Source organism: Homo sapiens, chromosome 11, assembly GCF_000001405.40.
Source record: "Homo sapiens chromosome 11, GRCh38.p14 Primary Assembly".
NCBI lineage: Eukaryota > Metazoa > Chordata > Mammalia > Primates > Hominidae > Homo > Homo sapiens.
In genome coordinates this window covers 123,508,325-123,532,671 of record NC_000011.10, presented here as the reverse complement: position 1 = coordinate 123,532,671, position 24,347 = coordinate 123,508,325, and the positions used below count along the sequence as shown (strand labels likewise).

The window sequence follows — 24,347 nt, the reverse complement described above, 5'->3', positions numbered from 1 at the left end:
TCTGGCATCAAACCGAATTTGGCCTGTTGGCTATGGTGTGTCAAACCACAATGTAAGGTCACATGAGGTCTTCCATGACATCTTGGATAATGGCCTTCATTCTACAGGCACTAAGGAAGTGCTGCTGTGTCTTAGGAAGAGGCATCAGCCCGTGCCCACACTACCAATAAGAGCAGCTGTGCAGTAGTGGTATGTATGATGAGTGCTCACTCATATTTCCAGTTCTCCCCTCTTCCTGCACTCAGAAGCCACATCTTCCAGCTTTCCTGCAGTCAGGCAGGGCCACGTGACTAGCTCTGGCCAATGTGGGGCAAGTGCAGGGACAGTATACTCACTTTCAGGGAGGAGCATTAAGAGCCACGCCTTCCTCCCCACCCCACCCTGACCACTGCGGTAGAAGGGCCATGACATTCTACTGCCTGGATCACTGAGCTGCCTGCCACATGCAGGATAGCCTTCCTGGAGAGTTTTCCAGAGCCTGAGGGGACTTGGAGTGATCAAGAACTAAATTTAGCATGAGTTAAGCTGGTTGGGGTGAAAGGGGGAGGGAATGGTATTATCATGGCATAACCCAGTTTAGTTCAACATCTTTCTGCAAACACAAACCAAAGAATAGCATTAAGAATTAATAAACAGGACGGGCGTGGTGGCTCACGCCTGTAATCCCAGCACTTTGGGAGGCTGAGGTGGGCAGATTACCTGAGGTTGGGAGTTTGAGACCAGACTGACCAACATAGAGAAACCCTGTCTCTACTAAAAAAATACAAAATTAGCCAGGCGTGGTGGTGCATGCCTGTAATCCCAGCTACTTGGGAGGCTGAGGCAGGAGAATCACTTGAACCCGGGAGGCGGAGGTTGAGGTGAGCCGAGATCGCACCATTGCACTTCAGTCTGGGCAATAAGAGCAAAACTCCATCTCAAAAAAAAAAAAAAAAAAAAAACCATCTAGCAATATGTAGTCCGTCACATCCTTTCACCTTAATAACTCATTTAGGGGACAAATGTCCAGTCTTCCGAAGAATTCAGCAAGAGATGAGAAGTGTCTTCAAGTTCTCTCATTAGAAACCCTAAACCGTCTCTTCCAGCAATAATAAACTTGATGACAACAAGCCTCAGGAAGGCCGGGAGGGAAGGGCTTCGAGCCAGCAGCAGCAATGAACCTTAGGTACTCATAATCTGATCTGCAACAATCTCTGCCAGCTACAAAGTTACATTCTTTCTTTCTTCTTAGAGTAGTAATGATGACGACAATAACACAACAAAGCAAATAATGTTTATTGCTGCTTACTTCAAGCCAGGTACAGTTTACCAAAGCAGAACTGTGAATGAGAGGTGAGAAACGCTTATCCTTTTAAGAAATCTGTAGAGTCAGAAGTTTCAGTCCTCGCCCTGAGCTGTCCTTCTCACTCAAGGGATTTAAATGCCTAGATGACCAGCGCTCAGTGTCCTGGACTTACCGAACCACGGGAAAACTCCAATTCCCATCCCACAGAATAATAAAGTAAATCTCACACTGTTCGCAGGAGGGTGTGCCTGCTGTGCGATGTTTGTAAATGAATATTTAATAGTTTCAAATGAATGTTTACTTTCAGTGTCCCCTGCTGGCTACAGAAGAACGCAAACAGTCCACATCACTAGCAACCTGCTCTATCAGGACTGTGGCCTTTTTCTAAACCATTACTAAAAAGGAAGCTGAGAGACCAACTAATCCACCCAACACTCATTTAATCCCACTTTCAAAACCACCACCACCCAAGGCAAACAGAAGTTACCTACCAGGGCCACACAGCAGGCCAAAAGGTGATTACAGGGTTCTGGTTCAGGAGTCAGCTCTCCAAAGTCTCAAGCCATGAAGTGACCCCAACCTTCACCGCAACTCACCTCCTGATAAACGTTTCCATAGCTGGGAAGCCTGGCTCTATAGGAGGTGTGCAGGGGCCATGTCTAGGGCTCCCTCCTCTGGAGCAGACCTCTTACAGAAAGAATCTTGAGGCTGGGCACGATGGCTCATGCCTGTAATCCCAGCACTTTGGGAGGCCAAGGCAGGTGGATCACCTGAGGTCAGGAGTTTGAGACCAGCCTGGCCAACATGGTGAAACCCCGTCTCTACTAAAAACACAAAAATTAGCTGGGTGTGGTGGCGGGCGCCTGTAATCCCAGCTACTCAGGATGCTGAGGCAGGAGAATCACTTGAATCCGGGGGGACGGGGAAGTTGCAGTGAGCCAAGATCTCGCCACTTCACTCCAGCCTGGGTGACAAGAGTGAAACTCTGTCTCAAAAAAACAGAAAAGACAAAAGAAATCTAGAGGAATAGATAATTTGGTCCAGGCAACAGCTAAAGAATGAACAGCACCCCACTTGCCAACAGATTGAAAAGAATGGGTACAGTAGGCAACTGACATTTACTATCAAATAAAATATTGTTGACCATTAATGGTCATGAAATATGGAGAAGTAGAAAAAAAAAAAAATGGACCCTCCCAGCTACCTGTGAAGAATGTGAGTAGGTTCTGTCACACAGTGCTTATCCTCCTAAACAGTGTGAAAGTAGCAAGACTGCTCACTCACCCACTCGAACATGGAGAAACTCGAAACTCCCCTCATCTGAGGACTAAGCCCTTTTCCACAGAAATGCTTCACCTGCTCTCTGTCAAGAACTATACTTTCTCTCAACCTTTTTTTTTTCCAGAATCAAATTCTTCCAGCACACTGACTTTCCTGAAGGTCTGTCACAGCCCCCAGGCTCTTTGGAGACGGCATTACCAAGCCCAGCAGATGTGAGGGCCAGGAACACGAGGACAGGGAATTCAGACAGATGTCACTACAGTCTGCCTAGTCCTATGGGGGCCAGAACCATCTGGAGGTGGAGCAGCCCCACAAAATTGGAGACCTTCTTAGTGTTTGAGGTTCCAAGGCTCTACAGGAATTAGGACTATCTTTGCGTCACCAAAAGAAAAAAAATAACCATGTAGAAGCTGCGGAAGATTGGTGAGTTACTCTTTAAAAAACCAATTTCTTGGCTTCCAAATCACTACATGCCCCACAGAGTCTTGGGCCGCAGTCCCATCTGTTTGTCAATGCCACCTCCTCTCTCAGTCTCCTCCACCACTGCCCTTACCTTGCTCACCAAGTTACCAGTAGAAGAAATCATAGAATCCTCTTTGGAGACAGCCTAAAGCTCTTACCCTATTGAGAGAGAGGGGTTGCACTGGGGGAGATTTCTATCTCAAAGTCCAACCACTTGTCAGTCATAGACATATGTCACGGTCATCTTCATCCAAAAGCATCCTCAGTGATACTCTCATAACTCCATGAGGTACAGCTGTGTGAAGTACAGCCTTTACTTACCTAATTGTCCAGCCTCTGAACCTCCCTCACATTTCAATTACTCCAATAAGACTCCTCTGTCATGCCAGCTGAAATGTATTTCTAGAGTGTCTGCTGTTCACCGCACTTATCTGTCCCTTAACACTTACTGACTTGCGTGTACACATGTGTCGGAGGTGTGAGAGAGCCTCCTTCCATCTGTGAGGCTACCAGCCCCTAAAAGGCCAAAGCATTGCCCTTTAAATTTTTTTAACTTCACAATGCCTAGACAACGGGGCTGCAAAAATAATACTTGATCAACATTTGTAGAATGAAGAAATGGATGAGAAAATGAATGGACAGACCCTGAGCCTGCTCTCTGGGAAAGAAGGCCTGACTGACACACCATGCTGTTGCGTGGTAGTTAGTCCCCACTCTGAAATCAGTTCAGCCGTAAGAGTGTATCCTGGCTTCCCCACCAACTAGTTGCATTAATTTAATCAAATCTCACTTTACCACTCTGTGCCTCCATTTCCCTACCTCTGAAATGGAGACACCAGCTGCTTCATGAGGTTATAGTAAGAATCAAATGAGATAACATATTTATACACACTTTTAAAAGTCTAACTAACTGACCTAATGAATATAAGAGACAACAGAACATAAAAAAAAAAGCCGGTGTCTAGCACGGCATTACACAGAGCGGAAATTATACTAGAGAAGAGGAGTAACCAGGGACAGGTGAATCACTGGGGAAACTTACCCTGCTGTAAGCCCAAAGCCTGGTTCCTATCTGCATGCCTTCAAGCAGGCCACTTAAACTCTGTGTCTGCTTCCCCATCCATAAAATGGGGATAAAATGGGGATTCTTATCATAACACTGTGAGCTCCATGTGAGTTTACTGTGGTGCTTGATACATAGTTTCAGCAAATGTTAGTCACCATTGTTCTTATCAGTATTTACCATCATTTTATATATCACCAACCCATAGTAGGCATTCCAGAGTTGTTTCTAGAAATAATTCAAACATTATAATTTTAATTAAATTCATTCTCTTCCATATGTAGACAGTGCTACCAAGGTAGTCAATAGATTTGGTCATCTTGCTTCTATCAAGTCTCCTTGTTGGAAGAGTAGGGAGTACCCTGAGTACCAGTACCAGAGTATCAGCATTAGTACCCTATCAGTACCTGAGTACCAGAGAGTAGGGAGTACCAGTTGGGATACTGCCAAAGGGAGCCGCATTTCATCCACAACTACAAGGTTTGGCCCCTGGACCAAAATGGACCTGTACTTAATGAGACAGTGGGTCACAGGATCTAACAGTATCAAGGCAGAGATAAATGACAACATTTTCCCATCCTTGTAAAATTTCTGAAGAAGACAAAATTATCCCAATTACAGTTCCCAGATTAACACTGCTCTCCTTGTTGAAATGCATCAAGAGATGCTCAAGGCAGATTTTTAAAGGCAAACATCTCTGCACATCCCTGAGGACCAACCCAGGCTGAGCTGAGAGCATTCTGTTAAAGTGATGTCTCATCCTGAATGACAGCCAAGCTACCCCTCAGCCCCAAGTTGGGTGTGCTGACAGCAGGGGCGCGGAAGGATGCGGAGAGATTTCTGATGAAGAGCCCAGTGTTCCTGCAGCACCTGGGCTTTTCTTGGAGGCCTCATCCCAGCTACAGACTGAGCATGGCTCTACTGAGGAATAAGGAAGAGCTTTAGCTGCTGGTCTGGACCTGGAACTCCCAGTGACAATAAACACTGCTAATAGCCTCCCACCCAGAAAGAATGGGGTACCAGACCCCAAGAAAGCAAGGACTAAATGTAAGAGAGAGGGATAGCAAAGCTTGAGGAAAAGAAACTCCCGGCTGGGGGATAACTGATGTTCATCACCTCCTGGGAACTCGCAGTTCTTGAGAGTTACACTTGCAGAAACTAAGCACCTCCCTTTGCCTTCTGCAAAGTGCCTTTTCAAGACCCACTAAAGGGCCCTGTTCCCTACAGGAGGAGGGCTGGACTAGACATTCTCTCAGGGTTTAATCTAGGGTAGGGGTGCCTGGAAGGCCAAATGTGGCCCAGAGCCAGGTTAGGACCCCATGCCTCAAATCGCTCAACACCCATCCCTGACTCTGAAAATCAACCTTTCACTCAGAGATGTGACCTGCCGCCACCCCACCCCACGCGTGGACAGCCAGCCGCAATGAAGGCAGGACTCATCCTTGCTGGGAGCTCTCCCAAGCTCATCCTCCTCCTCCCACCCTCCACCCTCTTCAGGGAGAAAGCTCCCTCCTCAGTCCAAGGAGCCTTTCTCCTCTGAAGGAGGCCTCAGGCAGCTGCACATGCCACCCTGCAGGGGTACCGGATCACTGGTATGGCAAAGTTTTCCAAGCAAAATCTGCAGTTTCTCCACCAGATGAAAAGCCAATTCACCTGCCCGTGCAATCTCCTTATTGGGTCAAAAAACAGAGAGAGGTAAAGGTTTTATTTTTTAAATGGAAGGTAAAAATATTCTGACTACTTCTGTAGCTAGAATACAGCTACTCCCACACCCCAAGCGAGAGATGCCTTTAATGTCCCAAGATTAAGCCCAGGAACAGGCACTTGCAAAGGCCCAAGGTGAGTGCTTGTGTTGGGGTAGGCAGCGGTCCACTCGCCTCTGGACACCAGGCATCCTAGAAGATGGAGCCTGGCCCCTCAGAGGGATGCCCCTAGGGACTGCCCGCCCTAAGCAGCTGACGTGAGAAAGGCCCCCCGCACACCCTCCCTCAAAATCACGTGTTGGTCAGGGCTAAGGAAGAGTACAACTGCACCCCCAGCCTGATGCAGACGCACAACACCTCGCCAAAGGGAAGGGATGTTTCTTTATTATAAAGTTCCCTCTGTGCGCACCACTCCTCACGTACTCGAAGTTGGAGAACGTTTTAGCTGCAATTTGATTCTCTCCACTGCCCCTCAACTTCCACAAAACCCCCGACCTCGAAGAAGGTAAGGAAAATAGTGCAGCAGTGCAGCAGCTGGGGGAGCCAGGGAGAGTACCCCAACTTTTAAAGTGCCTAGTCCCCACATCTTAACCCCTCGATGCCTGGTGAGATGGCATCAATGAAGGAGACCTCTTGAGGGTGCTGGGGCGAGCACAGGGCTGAAGAAAGGCAGAAGAGGAAGGTGCCCTATCCCTCCTCTACTTACCAGGAGAGCTTGAATCCTTTCATTAGTACAGTCACGATAATCCACTGACCGTGTCCTTAGCATCCCCGTTACAGCTCCGGAGGTCCCAGGACATATTGGAAAAGATGACGAAGTCCCAAAAGAACAGAATCCCATGTAATGTGACTTGAACACAGAAAGAGAAAGAGAGAAAGGGAGAAAGAGCCAGAAGAACTGCTGCCACTGCCCCTTCTTCCCCCTCTCCCAGCTGAAAGCTGGGCTTGGAGGCAAAGGACAGATTCTGCAAATCCAGCCTGGGGCTGGAGCCGCCTGCCCGAGCTGTGGCTGCCGCTGCCAGTTTCTGATGAGGATGGGTAATGCTGGCAAGGCTGCGCGAAACAAGCCCTGGAGTTGCCGTCAACAGCCAGGCTGGCCGGCTGCCCCCCACCCTCACCTCATACCAGCTCTGAGCTGCTTTGGGGAAGGAAGCCAAGGAGACCCTGGGAGGAGAGCACAAACCTAGCAGAAGCTGCACCTCTCTTCCCCCAGGCGGCAGCTCCCGCAGCTCCATATAATCTCCTAATCAATGCAGTACCCAAGCAAAGCACTGCCAGCCACTTCCGCCCATTTAAAGACACAGCACATGTTTAGTCCCAGGATGGGACAGAATATCAGGGAGAGGGTGCGTGAGGAATGTGGTGCCAGGAAGGAAGAGGAGGGGGCAGAAATATCTGAAGTTGAGCACTTCTGTCAGCATCCACTCAGGGGTTAAAATGCCCCACCCCTGCGGGGGAGGGGAACCTGGACCCTAGGTCCTCTGCACACCTCTGGAATCCAAGCAGAACTCAGAGGCCCCGTGGTGAGTGCCTGGGACATCTAGGCGCACAAGACCACCTTAAACAGAACCCTCACCCCGCAAGGCGGGGCAAGCAGGGCTGCGTGCTCCCAGGCAGTGTGCTGCACACAGAATGCACAGCTCTCTCCTCCTGCTGGGGAAATTGCCATGACTTCTGGGACGCAGGGTGAGGCAGCAACTTCTGGTGGCAGGGCAGCACATTGTCACCTGGGGCAAGGGATCCTTTTAAGGTGACCACAAAGGCCTGGTTTAGGATTTAGGCAACATGATCACCAATCCTGGGCTCCAAGAAGATGCAGACCAGCCACAGCACCCAGTAAGGCAGGACCAGGATTTTCAACTCTAGCTGGAAAGTAACAATTCACTGAGAATGGGGAAGAGGCTCCTCCTAAATCAGATCCTCCAGGCTGGGGCCTGGGAGTTCCAACACCAACAACTTCCCTGGCTATATGATCCCTTTCTATCTTTCCCTACATTACTATCTGGGTCAGTAATGCGGATGGGTGACAACGAACAAAGAGATTAATTATGAAATAGCAACCTTCAACTGAACCATGATAATAAAGCTTTACCCAGAAACTTGCTCCAAAACAGTTGAACCATAATAAGCCTTTACCCTAAAATTTGCCCATAAAACAATCTGCAGACATCCTCGTGTCGTATGAACATCATCTATACTTGACCCTCTAAAGTGAGAAAAACCAATCATTTCTCCTTTGGTCACGCACAGTGGCTCATGCCTGTAATCCCAGCACTTTGGGAGCCCAAGGAGGCGGATCCCTTGAGGTCAGGAGTTTGAGACCAGCCTGGCCAACATGGCGAAACCTCGTCTCTACTAAAAATACAAAATTTAGCTGGGTGTGGTGGCATGTGCTTGTAATCCCAGTTACTCGGGGGGCTGAGGCAGGACAATTGCTTGAACCAGAGAGATAGAGGCTGCAGTGAGCCCAGATCCCACCACTGCAATCTAGCCTGGGAGACAGAGTGAGACTCTGTCTCAAACAAAAAATAAAATAAAATAAAATAAAATAAAATAAAAATAAAAACTGGAGTGCAGACCCTCGTTGGTAACAGTCATCATACTTGTAATGACTTATTATCTGCTTTGTTCTTTTTAGAGGATAAGCACCATGGAGACAAGGACTGTGTGTCATTCAGCAATCTCTATATCCCCACTGAGGAGGAGGGCTTGGGGATTGTAGGGTACTATAAGCAAGCGTTTAAGTGACCTTACTCAAACCGAACTAAAACACCATGTTATCTCTCCAATGTCCACGTGGTCCAGAAGAAACACTCTTTAAGATATACTAACCTTTTGTGACCTGATTCCACAAGTAAAAAACGAAAGAAAGAAAAAAATAAGGTATACTGAGTTTTCAGAAAGGTGTTCCCAAAGCAGCCCTTGGCTGTGGAATTGATCTATCCATAGCCCCATGCCAGACAAACCCAAATGCTGCCAGGACTTCTGAACACATCCAAAATTATGTTTTCAAAGCTCCTGGAGCCTGTACCCAGGCCATACTTTCAGCACAGATATTGAAGGGATGCAACAGATTCCAGAAGTACAAAGAGTTGTCCTTTATGACCTAGATAATTCACTCAATGGAAATACCAGGTCATGTGATCCAGCCCCGAGGCAAATGTCACTGAGAGTACTCCAGGTACACGTGAATACTGTATTCTCATCCTGGCCCATCAACTGCTCTGATCACAAGTAACACAGAAAACCTGGATCAAAGATTTCCAAGTATTATATTAGAAACATTATTGTAACTGTAAATTTTTTTGGCTTTTGCTCTAGCTGTTTTTTTTTTAACTACAAAAACAAAAATCCAAAAAGTCAACTCCTTCTCAGCTATTAATAGGAGTATATTGAGGGTTAGTTATGTCAGGCATCAAGCTAAGCATTTTGCCTGTATTCTCTGACTTAATCTTCACATCCATGTTATAAGGCAGTACCTCATGATTTTCAGATAATGACACTGAAGACTAACTGTAGTGTCTTTTTAATTTATTTATTTATTTTGAGATGGAGTCTCACTCTGTTGCCCAGGCTGGAGTGCCGTGGTGCAATCTCAGCTCATTGCAACCTCTGCCGGCAGGGTTCAAGCAATTCTCCTGCCTCAGTCTCCCGAGTAGCTGGGATTACAGGCACGCACCACGATGCCCGGTTAATTTTTGTATTTTTAGTAGAGATGGGGTTTCACCATGTTGACCAGGCTGGTCTTGAACTCCTGACCTCAGGTGATTCGCCCACCTCGGCCTCCCAAAGTATTGGGATTACAGGCATGAGCCACCGCGCCCAGCCTAACTGTAGTGCCTTAATTTGCCTAATGTCAAACAGCTAGCAAGCTGCAAGCCTGGAATTTGAATGCAGGCGTGCCCAGCTCAAAAACCTATTCTCTTATTCACTATGTATGTTTATAAAAAATCTCCTTCTCTATCAGACAAACTGGTTTACAAAAGCTTACATGTTCCCAAGAGAAAAAGAATCCAGGTAACAGTTAAAAAAGAGACTAAATCAAGACTAAATCTCTTCTATTACTGATGAGTTGGCTGGCTTGAGTGTCTGTGTGTGATGTGAGGAACCCAAAAGGGAAGGAAGAACAGGAGAGCCCAGTGGGTTGAGCGATCATCATCTGCCTCGAATTCCCCTTGGCTCTTTCTTGTTTCTGAAACAGAGCTTCTCACAGGGCCCTGGGGACAGGTTCCATTTTTGTGGTCCGTAAAGAAAATCTCGGCTGGGCATGGTGGCTCACACCTGTAATCCTAGCACTTTGGGAGGCCGAGATGGGTGGATCACCTGAGGTTAGGAGTTCGAAACCAGCCTTGCCAACATGGTGAAAGCCTGTCTCTATTAAAAATACAAAAATTAGCCACGCGTGGTAGGGCACGCCTATAATCCCAAAGACTTGGGAGACTGAGGCAGGAGAATCACTGGAACCTGGGAGGTGGAAGTTGCAGTGAGTCGAGATCACGCCACTGCACTCCAGCCTGGGCAACAGAGCAAGACCATCCAAAAGAGAAAAAAGAAAAAGAAAATCTCAAAAGGTGATCCAAACATAGCTTTGAAGAGACATTGAAGTGCTTTCTGAGGTAAAGACTGAGACCAAGTGAGACGGAAAAATGTTCCTCATCTAACTTCCCTCTTTATCTTCTCACGGAAAGCAGTCTCCATGGTTTGAAAAGTTCCTGGCCAATAAATCGCAAGCACTAACACAACCTCTAGGAATGAATACACAGATTCTCCTGCTTCTGCCTGACTCCCTGCAATCTGGCTGCTTCCTGACATTTGCATTTCAGGAAGGATAAGAATTGTTTAGAGGAAACTAGATTGCAAAGACTTCCATATCTGGCAATATGGCATACACACAGATAAAATAGGAAAAAAAAAGAAATTATTTTAAAGTGCTTGATGAGCTATCAAAAAAGTAAGAAATATTTAAACGTCAAAAATTTAGTGATGGCAGAAAATAGTGAAACTGGGCTTCAGTTTTCATGGCCTCCCAGAGCACACTAGAGATAATTCCCAAAGCCCACAAGTGGTGAGAGAATCAAGAGGCAACTACCTCATAAAGTGGATCCCAGTGGACTACACTCTCACTGTAAGGATAAACTTGAAAGAAATGTACAAATGCTGCCCAGGAACTAAAAGGAAAATTCCCTGTCCTAAACCTTGATGTTGAACAAAGGAGGAAGAATAATCTCCTCTGATAAATCATAATCACAAACTGACTCTTACACTGATTGTACCCTGAGAGTTTCCTAAACAACTGACCCAAAAACAATGCCCATAAAGGAAAAAAATGATAGACTCAGCCACAGTAAAGTTAAAAACTTCTGATCATCCAAAGAGATCATAGAGAGAAAAGACAAAGCTGTTCTAAGAGAAAATATGTGCAACATATATTGGTTGAGAAAGGAATTGTTCACAGAATTTATTAAAAATCCCTACAAACCAATGAGAAAAAGAAAGATAATTCTAAAAATAGACAAACGATTTAAGTTAGCATTTTCAGAAAAGAAAGCAATAAACTATATAAAAAGGAGCTCAATCCATTAGTACTCAGGAAAATATAAATTGGAACTCTGGTGAGATGTCATCACATACTCATCCCATTGACAAAAATTAAAAAGTCAAATAATATCAAGTGTTGGAAAGGAGCTAGTGGGAGTGTATACTGGTTCAACTCCCTAAGAAAATTATATGGTATTATGTAATAAAGTTGGATGATTGCATACTCTAATACGTAACAGTTCTACTCCAATAATAGAAGCAACTCACATTCAGAGGCATGCACGAAAGACTTTAAATAGCACTCCATGTAACAGCAAAAGCAAAACAAAAACTCTGAAAACAAATGTCTATCAACAGAAAGGATACATGCCTCGTGTTATTTTCTTAAGGTGGAACAGTACACAGCATTGAAAATGCATAAATCAGTCACATGCAATGGAGCAGAACAGGTGAGAGGTACTCCTGCAATTGTCATTTGTTCTTTATACTTTACACATATTTTTATATATTTTATAAATATTATTTATTTTCCTTTTTCTTTCTTTCTTTTTTTTTTTTTTTTTGACAGGGTCTCACTCTGTTGCCCAGGCTGGAGTGCAGTAGCATGATCACGGCTCACTGCAGCCTCCACCTCCTGGGCTCCAGTGATTCACCCACCTCAGCTTCCTGAATAGCTGGGATTGCAGACACGCACCACCATGCCCAGCTAATTTATTTTTATTTTTATTTTTTGTAGAGATGGGGTTTCGCTGTGTTGCCCAGGCTGTTCTTGAACTCCTGGGCTCAAGCAATCCACCCGCCTTGGTCTCTCAAAGTGCTGGGATTGCAGGTGTGAGCCATCGCGCCCCCCTATATATTATTTTGTATTAGCTAACTATTCAATGCAAACAATTTTAAAATACACAGAGTATTTAGAAAACAACTGAATACCAACCCCTTTTGGGTTTTTATAAACAGGCTTGATAAAGAGGGGGTAGGGCACAGGGGTCTAGACAAGATTTTGTGTTACCTGCATTTTCACAGCTATACTTTCACAGAAACTGGCCTTTCTGAGTCCACTAATTTAATGAACATGAAGTTGGTTTGATTTGTATTACTCCAAGTCTCTTGTTACCACGGTTTCTTCTGAACTTTACTGGGTTTAGAATGGAGGCCGGAAAGAGTTCAGCTTTTTCCTTTTGATTGCAGCTGCTTTGACTTTCTGTTGGTCTCCTATGAGTCTTAAAGTCTCGCCTACCCTGGCACTGTTCCTTTCCTAATCCAACAAAAACATGATTGGTGTTTCTTGTCTCATCCATAAATGGGGACTAGAATGGTAAGAGGTCACCAGAGCATGCTGCTGTTGACCTTGCCTGCAGACACCCAGGGCCATCCGGCCAAGGGAAACCTGGAAGCTGTGAACTCAAATGCCACAATATCGGCTCCTATCTCAGGCTTCCGCCACTGAGTGGCAGAAGCCAAGGGAGAATTCGGCCCTCCTGCCTCCCACCTCCTCATCTGGAGCTCTTTCCACCACCAGAATCCCACGACCTTGGGTAAGCCACTCCAAGCCTCTGGCTCCCTATCTGGAGCAGAAAATAAACGACAGGATCCCTGAAGCTCTCCTTCTAGCTCAAGTTCTTGGATTCTGTGCTGCTCTCCCTATGTGCCCCTCTTTGCTCCAGGAGCAGGAGTGCAGCAGCGCTGCAGTACCGGGGCATAGCTGCATGCCTCTAGTTGCTGGGAAATCTGGGGCAGAGCAGTGCTGCAGTCACACGTTGGGGAATCAAAGCTCTAAGCTCAGGCAGGGGAGTCATCAGGCGTTGAGAGTGTTATATTTAAGGAGCATTTTGGAGGTCAGGAAGCAAGTGAGAGAGGAGCAGCGGGGGAGGAACAGCCTCCTAAACACTCCATTTCCACAACAAGCCTCTTTCTAGTCCTCCAGCCAAAATCCGCTTCCAAACTGCACTCAATAGAGAGCCTGTGTGAGCTGACCAGCAGATGGCCAGGGCTGCACCCCGATCAGGTGCTCCCCACCACTTCCCTGTCCTCTCCCTCCCTTGGCACTCTCCTCTCCCCACCCTCTGCCACTATTAGTCACTGGCTCTGGGGTGACAGTGTGGGCTGCAGGCATTGGCCTCGCCTTCTAGCCTATTCATCTATGTCAGCTCCCAGCTTGGAGCCTCCAAAGCCAGCCCCTCCCTTCCTGTCCTTGGTACCCTTATGCACACCCCTGCCCTCCAGGCCCACCATCTGGGTGAAACAGCGCTGTGCAGGGCAGGCACCCGGCCAGAGGGCTAGCAAAGGGTGGCAGGCTTGGGGGCAGAGCAAAGCGGGGCTGTTTGCTTCAAGAATGCTTCATTCTGCTCCTATGGCCTCCTGGATTTACTGAAGCCACTGGAGTTAAAAAATAAAATGAATAGAATCACCTCCCGCCAGGCTTCTTTGCCCCTCTTTCACAATCTGCTAATCCAGAATATTCCTTCAGGCAATAAACAGGATGAGCAATATCAAAGCCAAATTCCACTCAGCTTCGTTCTGCCCCTAGGAAGGGGAGGAAGCAAGACTGAGGCAGCCAGGGCTTCCGTGGATGGCTCTGATCCTCTGATCACTCTAGAATCTAAAGTGGTTGCGCAGACCTCATGCCCAGTGATTCTTACAGCAGCCCAGTGAAGTGCTAAACCACACTTAACACAAGACACGCAGGCTTAGTGAGGTCTAGTTATCTTCCTACTAGTACTGCCATTGCTAGCCGCTCTATAAGGTTGTAATTGGTAAAAAGAGGAAAAAGTAAAAGGTAAAAACACCGTATCTGAGAATCACAAGCCCCCTCATGCAACTCGGGGTAAGGAAACTCCTTAGCCAGGCCATACATTGGGATCACCTCCCTCACTGAATTCAGTGCAACACCCAACTAAGCTCTCTCTCTTCCCCCTGTTTAAGCAGCCATCGATATCCCTTCTCCAAGGAGACTTTGTCTTGATGAGGAGACAAGAGCTCTGTCTGGCAATAGAAATCCCCATAGAGGATTCCCCGCTCTATCCCACTTTCCCCTTCACCTCCAAAATCTTCCTCCCGCTTCCTGAATGCTTGACTGCCTGACTAGTGTTGGTTTCTCTGCATGCTTGCTCATCCCCGTGTCCCGGATCACGAGACCCCTTCTGCTGCTGCACTTAACGGTGGCCCCAAGGAGGTAAGAGCCCTGCTGTCAGAAAGATGCACACACCTCAGAGAAACCCCACAACCAGGAGAGGGGCCGTTGCCTGAAGTCACTCATCATCCTAATTACACACGTAACAAAAGAAAACATCTCTCCTGCCAGATGGAAGAAAGAAGGCAGATTTCTAATCACCCCCGTGGCTCCTCCTGGTTTATCCTCAGGAGAAATTCAGGGTGACTGATGGTGTTAGGGACCCAGGAGGGTGCTTATAAACTCAGGTTCTCTCCGGGAGGGGGCACCCATACACCCACAGCCAGCTGCTTCCTGTTGTCCTCCCACCAAATGGGGATTTCTGCTTCTTCCACTAAATTACATATCAGTATTACCATTTTTAAAAATACAGATGAATTGAGCGTTAACTCATTTTAAAAGTGAAAGTCGTCTGCCCAAGGACACAATAAGAATCTATTTATTGTTGGCAGAGAAATTGTTCGATGATAGGACAAGTGCAGAAAAACCGCATTCTTCATTGAACAGGGACTGACACCACCCCCGGTGGTGTGTATTGTGGTTTAGCACCGCGATTCTAGAATTAGCCTTGAGTTCAAATCTATACTTAACAGCTATGTGACCTTGAGCAACTTACTCCATTTCTCTAAGCCTCAACTCCTTCATCCATTAAAAAGGTGAGGATGACAAGCACCCATCAGGTTGCTATGCGGAGCGGATGACACTAAGAGCAAGTAAGTGCTCAATACATTTTCACCACTGCTGTGATTATTCCCAACCCATGTCCACAGAACCACCACTATATACTACAGGAACCACAGGCTCCATTTCCTGCTCCTAATCTACTTTTTCTCCTTTATGTCAACAAATTTTCCAATTTTCCCTATTTTGTTGGGAATATTTTTGCATTGTTTTGTGCTCTTTCTGTTAGGTCAATCAGCTGTTTATTTTTTCAACAAGAACTGTACATATGGCTGGGAGCAGTGGCTCATGCCTGTAATCCCAGCACTTTGGGAGGCTGAGACAGGTGGATCATTTGAGGTCAGGAGTTTGAAACCAGCCTGGCCAACATGGTGAAACCCCGTCTCCACTAAAAACACAAAAATTAGCTGGACGTGGTGGTGTGCACCTGTAATCCCAGCTACTCGGGAGGCTGAGGCAGGAGAATTGCTTGAGCCCAGAAGGTGGAGGGTGCAGTGAGCCAAGATCGTGCCATTGCTCTCCAGCCTGGGTGACAGAGCAAGACCCCGTCTCAAAAACAGAACCATACTTATGGAGCGTCTAATATGTTCATGACCCAAGCAAATCACAATGATATTTCAAAGTTAGATCCAGAGTTCTCCTTGATCTCAAGTCAATAATCCAACAAGGAAGATAAAAGATGGGCATTAAACTATATGAAATAACACTAACTTAAAATATAAGGCAACAAGTCTCTAAGAGACGCTTATCTAATCAGAAGGATATATCTCTGTTTTCCAAAACGAGCATAGGTTTGTAATCATTATACCAACTTTTTTTTTAATCAACAGACGAGTAATGGTGAATAGTCTCAGCTGACTTACATTAAGTCTGTCTGTGATATTTCTTGATTAGTCTGGTCTTAACACAAAAGAGCCAGAAAAAGGATCCAATATTTGTCATCATCCTTTATGGAGACAAGAGCTTTCTATTTGCATGAGAGGTGTCCAGAAATAGTGCCTTCGGAACATATTGCTACTATCACTGCCAATAAATACAGGTTTACTTGGATGGAGCATCTAATGAGTTCGACTTTAAACAGTTTCATTTCCAGTCATCGGGACATTTTCTCAACAGCGCCCTAAGGTTAGGGCAGGGGAAGCTTTAAGTTGTTTCAGGCACAGATACCCACTACCTTCTCTCAGCATCACAACAGACATGAGACTGGCATATCATGAGTAAACCAAAGGGTTCAGCTTCCATCCATTTTGTGACCAGCGCTATTCAGTAAATGCTTTTCCATGCACTAAGCCACTAGCTACCTTTGATGATCCAGTGGCACTTGTGTGCTGGCGTGTACCATGATGGGGTTTTTACATGGATTGGTAATGAATTGAGAAAAATTAGGACAATGTGGTAAACACCAAAAGGTTAAATATGTTGGCTGGGTGCGGGGGCTCACACCTGTAATCTTGGCACTTTGGGAGGCCGAGGTGGGCAGATCACTTGAGCTCTAGTGTTTGAGACTAGACTGGGCAACATGGTGAAACCCTCGTCTCTACTAAAAATACAAAAATTAGCCCGGCGTGGTGTTGCCCACCTGTGGTCCCAGCTACATGGGAGGCTGAGGCAGGAGGATTGCTGGAGCCCCGGAGGCGGAAGTTGCAATGAGCTGAGATCATGCCACTGCACTCCAGCCTGGGAGACAGAGCAAGACTCTGCCTCAAAAAAAAAAAAGGTTTGAATATATTGACAGCATGACCTTTTAAATTTTGTGTTTAAATATTCTTTAAATATACATATACATAGTGGTGGTAGTTCTATGTTTCAGTTTAGTTGCTAGCTTTCATAGGTAAAATAAATAACTGGTAATTCTGTGCTGGTCCACCAATTTTTTTCAATCTCTCCACAAAATCCAGAAGTTCAGACTCCCCTATGAAGAAGGCTCTCCGTTCTAAGACCTCATCCTATAAGGAGAGCCTCTGCCTCTCAACTGCTGTGACGGGGCATCTGATTTTTTTGGATTTTGGAATATTTGCAGGATACATAGTCAAATCTGAAGTCTGAAATGCTCTAATGAGTATTGCCTTTGAACGGCATGTTGGCACTCAATACGTTTCAGGTTTGGGAGCATTTCTAATTTCAGATTTTCAGATCTGGGATGCTCAACCAGTACCACTCCCTAACCTCAGACACAAATTTCTCATTGTTTCTGAACAACTTCACCTAGATATCTCACGGGCAGTTCAGAGCCAGTATGAATAAAGGGAACTCCTCACTGTCCCACTGTCTCCTCCCAACTCTGACGTCTTGTATCAATCTCAAATCACACCACCAGCTACCAAGTGACCCAGTCAGAAACCAACGATTCACCCTAGACTCCTCCATCTCCCATTTAATTAGGAACTACGTCGTGTCAGTTCTAGCACCTGAAATATGACTAGAGTGTGCTTCTTGCTGTCAACGTTCACCTGCCTTTCAATTCTTACCTTTAGGTTTGCAGTTGCAGTTACCCTCTCCTATTTGTTCATTCACCAAATATTTATTGAGCATCTATCACCTGCCAAGTAAAATGCTAAGTGCCAGGGTTTCTGTGAATTAAGAAACAAAACACACAATCCCTGCCCTCAAGGAGCTCACAGTCTAGTGGGGAGAGATAGATGTAAAAATAATAGTAATAATAAAGTTATCAGAGATGGAGCAAAATGAGGCAATTATCTTACTTGTCTACCTTGGAGCCAGAGTACTTTCTCAAAAGCAAACCTGATGGTACCTCGAAGTCCTTCAGCTGTTCGCAGTGTCTATGCAGTCTCAGCACTGCACGGGCTTTCACAGCGCTTCAGCTCCCTGCTTCTGTTTCTGGTTTTCACATTTGCCTCTTGTCTTCCACATGCATCCTAAGCACCAGTCCTGCCAAGCTACTTGTCGTGCCCTGGGCCCTGCCATGTCCATCCTGGGCCCACTATTCTCTAACAGATCTCTGCACCCACAGCCACCATTCAGTGACTATCTGCAGTGTGCCAGGCATTAATCCTAAGACATTGCATTTAATCCTCATGACAATCCCAGCGTATTGATGGTGAACTCATGGACAAACGAGGAAACTGAGACCAGGGAAGGCCAAGATAACCCACTCAAGTTCACAGAGCCAGAAAGCAACAGGGTCAGCATTTGAACCTAGATATGTCCAACTCTAAATCACAGCCACATCATCTTTCCTCTCTTGTCCACCTGATAAATTCCCACCCACACTTCAGGTCTCAGATCAAATGTAACCTTCTTTACAAAGCCCTTTATGAACTGCCCAGTCAAGTAATTCTTCTTGCGTCCCTGATTTTGAACCTATTACCTTGTGTTGCCATAATTTGTTTACTTGTCTGTCTCCCCCGAGGACCCATGAACAACTCTTCACGGCGATTGTGAACTACCCATCTCTAAACTCTCCATACTGAACTCTCTCCACTGGCATACAGTCAGCATTTAATAACCCTCTGGTGAATGAATGGGTTAATTAATGCTCCCTAACCTCTTTTCTCAAAGTTAAGACAAAAACTCTTGCCAGCACAGTGGCTCAAGCCTATAATCCCAGCACTGTGGGAGGCCAAGGTGGCAGAATTGCTTGAGCCCAGGAGTTCGAGACCAGCCTGGGCAACATAGTGAGACTCCATTTCTACAAAAAATAAAAAATTAGCCAAGTGTGGTGGCATGCACCTGTAGTCCCACCTGCTCAGGAGGCTGAGGCAGGAGGATCACTTGAGCCCAAAAAGTTGAGGTTGCAGTGAGCCATGATCGCACCACTGCACTCCAGTCTAGGCAATAGAGACCCTGTGAAAGAAGAAAAGAAAGAAAGAAAGAAAGGTAAGAAAAAGAAAGAAAGAAAGAAAGAAAGAAAGGAAGGAAGGAAGGAAGGAAGGAAGGAAGGAAGGAAGGAAAGGAAGGAAGGAAGGAAGGAAGGAAAGAAAGGAAAGGAAGGAAGGAAGGAAGGAAGGAAGGAAAGAAAGAAAGAGAGAGGGAGAAAGAAAGGAAGGAAACTAACTCTCAGTAACAATTCATCATCTACATATTTTAACACAGTCAGGTCAGGCTATCAGATGGCCCTAGTCTGAGGTGCAACCTTAAAAAAAAAAAGGGTAGTACTATGACAATGCAGTGGACTAATAGAACCTCAAAATCCAGACTCCAGAAGGTGAAGTCACACCTGTAAAAGCTCTACTCCAGGAACTGAAAAGAGTCTAATAGGGAATGTTGTCATAAGACTGACCACACCTCCACCAAAAGCTATTTCATTCCAGGGTAAATTAACCCAGTACATTGCGGCTAGGGGAAATTCTGGGAATAGTATCTCAGAAATAAAAAGGGAAGCCTGAGATAAGGGGGATGCATTTTTCAAGTATTTAGACATTTAAAAAGTGATATTGAAACTGTATGTAAGTTACTTACAAGCTGCTTTTATGCATTATCAGAGATTCCAGGACATTGGCCATAATATGTAAGTTCCTCTTGTACCTGGGCTTTGTACCTAGACTATACAAATAGGCTCTTTATGGAAGCATCTTGATCAGTTAAAAGTTCTTAAACTTTTTTGAGTAATAAGCCTCCTGGGGAGCTGATGAAAGCCAAGGATACTCTCCCCAGAAAAATGTACAGAGATACAAAATTCTGCCTACCAATGAAGGGGGCTCGTGGACCCTCTCCTGAAGTCCATTCAGAGCCCTGAATGGTTCACAGGCACAGACTGAAAATACCTGAAGTAAATTTCCAAAGGGTCTGGATTAGAGAAGGTTAAAAAAAAAAAAAAAAAAAAAAAGATTCACAATGCTGCTTTGAAATGACATCGGTTTCTGTTAGCCAATCAGATTCTCTCTTGGTCAAGGTCCTGAAAGTAAATGCCTCAGCCTCCTGAGTAGCTGGGACTACAGGTGCATGCCACCACCCCTGGCTAATTTTTCATTTTTTGTAGAAAATAAAAAAGGAATGATTCGTCTCTAACATCTGATGCTATACCTGCTTAGATCATGTGCAATCTGGACTAAGGGACAGCAAGGGCCTAAGTAAAATCAGGCTGTTTCTGCCTCCATATGCAAATAGAAACTAAACAGACCTTTCCAAACCAGCCACAGAATAAATCCCCAAAATCCCCAAATCATACCTTTTCCAGAGCACTTGCCACCACCATCCCCTGAGAACCAGCTGGTTGATAACAAACCACCTACAACCTCAAGAGCTAGTTCACTAGAGGCTTTGCAAGGCCCTGGTGAAGACAGACAGCAGCGTTCCCACCAGAGAGCAAACTGCTTGCAGCAGTTTGGGATCCAAACACAGTTGCAGATGCCTGCTTTCATGGTCGCCACTGCCCACTGTCAAGGTAGTACAAGCACTTTGCACCACCTCATATTCAAAGGGGCTATTCAGATGTTTGTGGAAGGAAGGAAAAGAGAGAGGAAGCGGAGACAGAGGAGAGAATGGGTCCAGGGAGACCTGTTCTCTATAGTTTGCTCTCTCTGGCTCCTTTCTAAGAAAACTGAGAATTTGACAGATCTAAACTGATTAAAACAACAGATGTGTGTAATTTTCACCTTTGTGCAGACCAGGAGATGGAAGTCCAGAGAAGTTAAGTGACTCGGATCTGATCACACAGCCTGTAGGGCTGGGAGGAGCAGAAAACCAAGTTCTATGATTCCCAGAGACATGTTCTAACCACTGTAACACATTCCTGCCGGTTCAGGCTGGCAGCAGACTTGCCGCTTGGGCCTCCTCTCTCATTCTCTCCTCCATACACAACACAGGATACCCAACCTGCTCCAGAAGTCTGAGCCTTGTCCAGTCTTCCATCTCTGAGAGAAAGGAGACCCTGCCATCTGGCCAAAAAGCAAGGCTCCCAAATGAAGGGCTGAGATATTCTCGAAGGATTACATCTCTCCCTGCACACTGGAGCTGGGGTTGGGGCTGCACAGACTCAGCCTCCTTAGATGCCCCCATCTACTCCCAATGGCTCTAACTCCTTGTCTGGAAAAATACACAGGAAAGCAAATTTCAAATTGCAAGCAGGAGCCAGGAGAGATTTGAAAGCTATCTCAGGAGCGCCCTCTAGCGTGCCCACAGAGTTTGAGCAGCGCAGCACCCAGGCCCCATTCCCTGGAGGTGCCCGGGCCCGCACTGCCATTGGGGCATCCGGCGAGCAGTGGGCGGGGCCAGCGGCAGCATCTGCCACTCACATAAAAACTCCTCTCCAATCCCAAGGCCAACGTCTGCTGCAGGATGAGAGGCAGTCTCTGCTTTTAAGACTGTCCAGCCCGCACCAACCCCACCCATTCCTTATACAACAGGGAGAAGCAAAAGAGAAGCAAACAGAAGGTGAAAAGAAAGTGTGGAGGTTGCACAAATGGAATGCAGTGCAGAGAAGAAGCAGAGGAAGAAGACAGAGAGAGAGAGAGAGAGTGAAAAAGAGGCATAACTGAAAAAGGGACAGGATAAAGAGAAACAAAAAATAGGGCAAGGCTAAAGAAAACAACGGACATATAAGTGAGTGCAGATGAAAGCTACAGATACCTCCACCCCCCACCCTGCACCCCTCATCCACCCACTCCGACTTCCAAGCACACCAAGGTGGGGCATGTGCTTTGTAGGACCTGGCACCTCCTCGCCTCTCCTGAGGTCTTGGTGCTCACAACATTTCCCTCCACTCTGACACAGCCCCTGGATGCTCACGAGTGGCGGGCTGAGGGAGAGGAGGAGAGAGAAAAGTGAACCAAAGGCAGAACTCGCCAAGCGAAGCCACTTACGCACAGTGCGGCCGGCAGCATTTCCATCCTACCTTTGCTGTCGCCATGTCAGCCGGCTCCATGATCTCTGCTTGGCCTAAGGAGCAGCGGCACCATCCAGAGAGAAAAGGCAGAGTCACAAACGTCCACCCACGGAGAACAAACCACCCCTCTGGAAGGCTGGGGAAAATAAGACACCTATTTCCACTCTCTGGCCCCCTGGGACTTCCTCAGTTTCTGGGTAAGAGGTCAGAGTCTGGAGGTCCACAGCAAGCAGGGGGGCCCTGTCTCCTGTCTGTGTTCCACAGACTCCCAGGAGGCTGAGTCAGGGGGCACCTCCCCTGGCCTGGTACTTCTTCCCAGGAGCGAAGTGTGGGTCTTCCCAGGCTCCCCCTGTTGAGAGGGAGAGGGCACAAAGACGGAGGCCTGCCCTCCCATCACCCCGCCAACTGGTACCCACAGGTCAGGATGAGGGGGGCATGTGGGAAGAGGCCAGCTGGCAGGTAATGAGCAAGAGCCGGGGGGAGCAGGAAGGGAGAAGGTCAGCAGCTGGTGGCGGGCAGGCGGGTGTGAGAACCTCAAGAAGGTGCAGGCACTCAGCTGGAAGCAGAAAGGTGCTGTGCAAGGAAGTGCCGGAGCCACAAAGCCGGAGCCTGGCACGGCAAGGTGGAGAATGCAAAAGGAGAGAAATTCGCCCGGTGAAGCCACTCACCTTGCAATAACATTCAGACTGACTGAGGCCTACACAGGAGCCAGGAGCGGGCGGTTCACACCCCCCCACTCCACTCCCAGAGACTCACAGCCTCTGTCTAAAGGTACATGAGAGCAGCCGGCAGCCTGGCTGGATCTGCAGAGGCCCCTGGCTCTCTCCGAGCAGTCTGATTGGAGGAGCAGGATGACTTCATCCAGCCCCATTCATCACTCTAGGTTTCCTGCCCAGCAGGGACAGGCCGCTCGCTTGCAGTGACTACAGCTTCCTCTCTGGCCCACTTTACTCGGTCAACCTGGGATAAGCTGCATCCATCAGGGGAACCCTGAGGAAGGGGATCAGAGTATCCCAGCCCTGTTGGGAAGAGAGGAACAGGCTGCTCACATTCCCAAGACAGTGCAAGGATTCTACTTAAAACACAGTACATATATTCACTGTGTGTGTTTGCGGTGCCAGAGCTGGCATCCATACAACAGAGCAAGGCTTCTAGAAACTGGTGAGGAAACGGGGTGTACGCTCTGGTGAACCACTGACCTGCTTGACAAAAACATGAAAATAAGCCCATCCAAATATTTAAAGATATTTCTCCCAATCAGAAAGAATAATCTATGGAAAAACACCCATGTCCTTCCTGAGGCATCTCCAAGTACCTCCCTCCTATCATTTTCCCCCAACAGCTCCCCTATAGCAGCCCCTGAAACATGCTAACCTATCTTCTGTTAGGGACGTCGGTTCCTTCATGCTTGTGATCTCACATCTACAAAAGGCTACAAGTGAGTAGGACCTTACAGCTTCAGCTCCCATTTTGCAGATGAGGAAACTAAGGCCCAGATAAAAAGCCAAAGGGTCAAAACAAGGATGTCAGTCTCCCAGTGTTCATTTCCATGTAGACTTTACCCTCAGAAATGGTGAGATCCTCAGAGAAAACTGACCCCTCCTTATTTACTCCTTCCTTTCCTCCCCCACACCTACTCCCAATCCAGCCCCAAGACCACAGAAAAAAAACAACAAAGCAAGTGTTAGATAAAGTAAAACATAATTTAAAAAAGAAGGCACGGCCAGGCACGGTGGCTCACACCTGTAATCCCAGCACTTTGGGAGGCTGTGGTAGACAGATCACCTGATGTCTGGAGTTGGAGACCAGCCTGGCCAACATAATAAAACTCCGTCTCTACTAAAAATACAAAATTAGCCAGTCATGGTGGTACACGCCTGTAGTCCCAGCTACTTGGGAGGCTGAGGCAGGAGAATCACTTGAACCAAGTAGGCAGAGGTTGCTATGAGCCAAGACCATGCCATTGCACTCCAGCCTGGGCAACAAGAGCAAAACTCTGCCAAAAAAAAAAAGAAGGCAATGATTGTGTGATCATTTATTACCTTGCTTCTGTTCAAGTCTGACTTTATAACCAAGCAACTCAATCAGGTAGATCAATACAGACTAGGAAAGAGTTTCCCAAAAAACTGATGACACTGACAACACAGTGCTCACGGGTCTGGCTTAACTACAGGAACAATAATTGTGACAACTCTCATTTGTACAGTGCTCCATAATTTACAATGCATTTCTATTATAGTTTGAGTGTCCAAACTCATGTTGAAATTTAATGGTCACTGTAACAGTATAGTATTAAGAGGTGGAACCTTTAACAGGTAATTAGGTCATGAGAGTGGCCCTCATGGATGGTTTGATACACTTATCCTGAAAATAAGTTAGTT

At 46.5% G+C, this 24,347-nt stretch overlaps 1 protein-coding gene across 35 annotated transcripts in view, besides 1 other annotated feature; it reads right to left on the bottom strand.

Moving 5' to 3' along the window:
- GRAMD1B (GRAM domain containing 1B) overlaps positions 1-24,347 on the bottom strand; it is a 269,346-nt gene that overhangs the window by 95,096 nt on the left and 149,903 nt on the right. For 5 of the 35 annotated variants that reach the window (NM_001286563.3, NM_001387028.1, NM_020716.4 and 2 more), the window contains exon 1: positions 6,501-7,046. The exons of 25 other annotated variants lie outside the window; for them this stretch is intronic. In NM_001286563.3, the coding sequence (NP_001273492.1) occupies positions 6,501-6,523 (23 nt within the window). In that variant the 5' untranslated portion in view covers positions 6,524-7,046. Of the gene's footprint in view, positions 1-6,500; positions 7,047-21,975; positions 22,020-22,634; positions 22,757-24,347 lie in introns of those variants that run through there. 5 more of the 35 variants (NM_001387032.1, NM_001330396.3, XM_017018046.2 and 2 more) reach the window with 2 other exon arrangements.
- Positions 13,908-14,087: a silencer, noted in NCBI's record as "silent region_4018". NCBI's record gives its function as "represses an Ori minimal core promoter by ATAC-STARR-seq in GM12878 lymphoblastoid cells {active_cell/tissue: GM12878}" and the evidence as "EXISTENCE:reporter gene assay evidence [ECO:0000049][PMID:35858748]".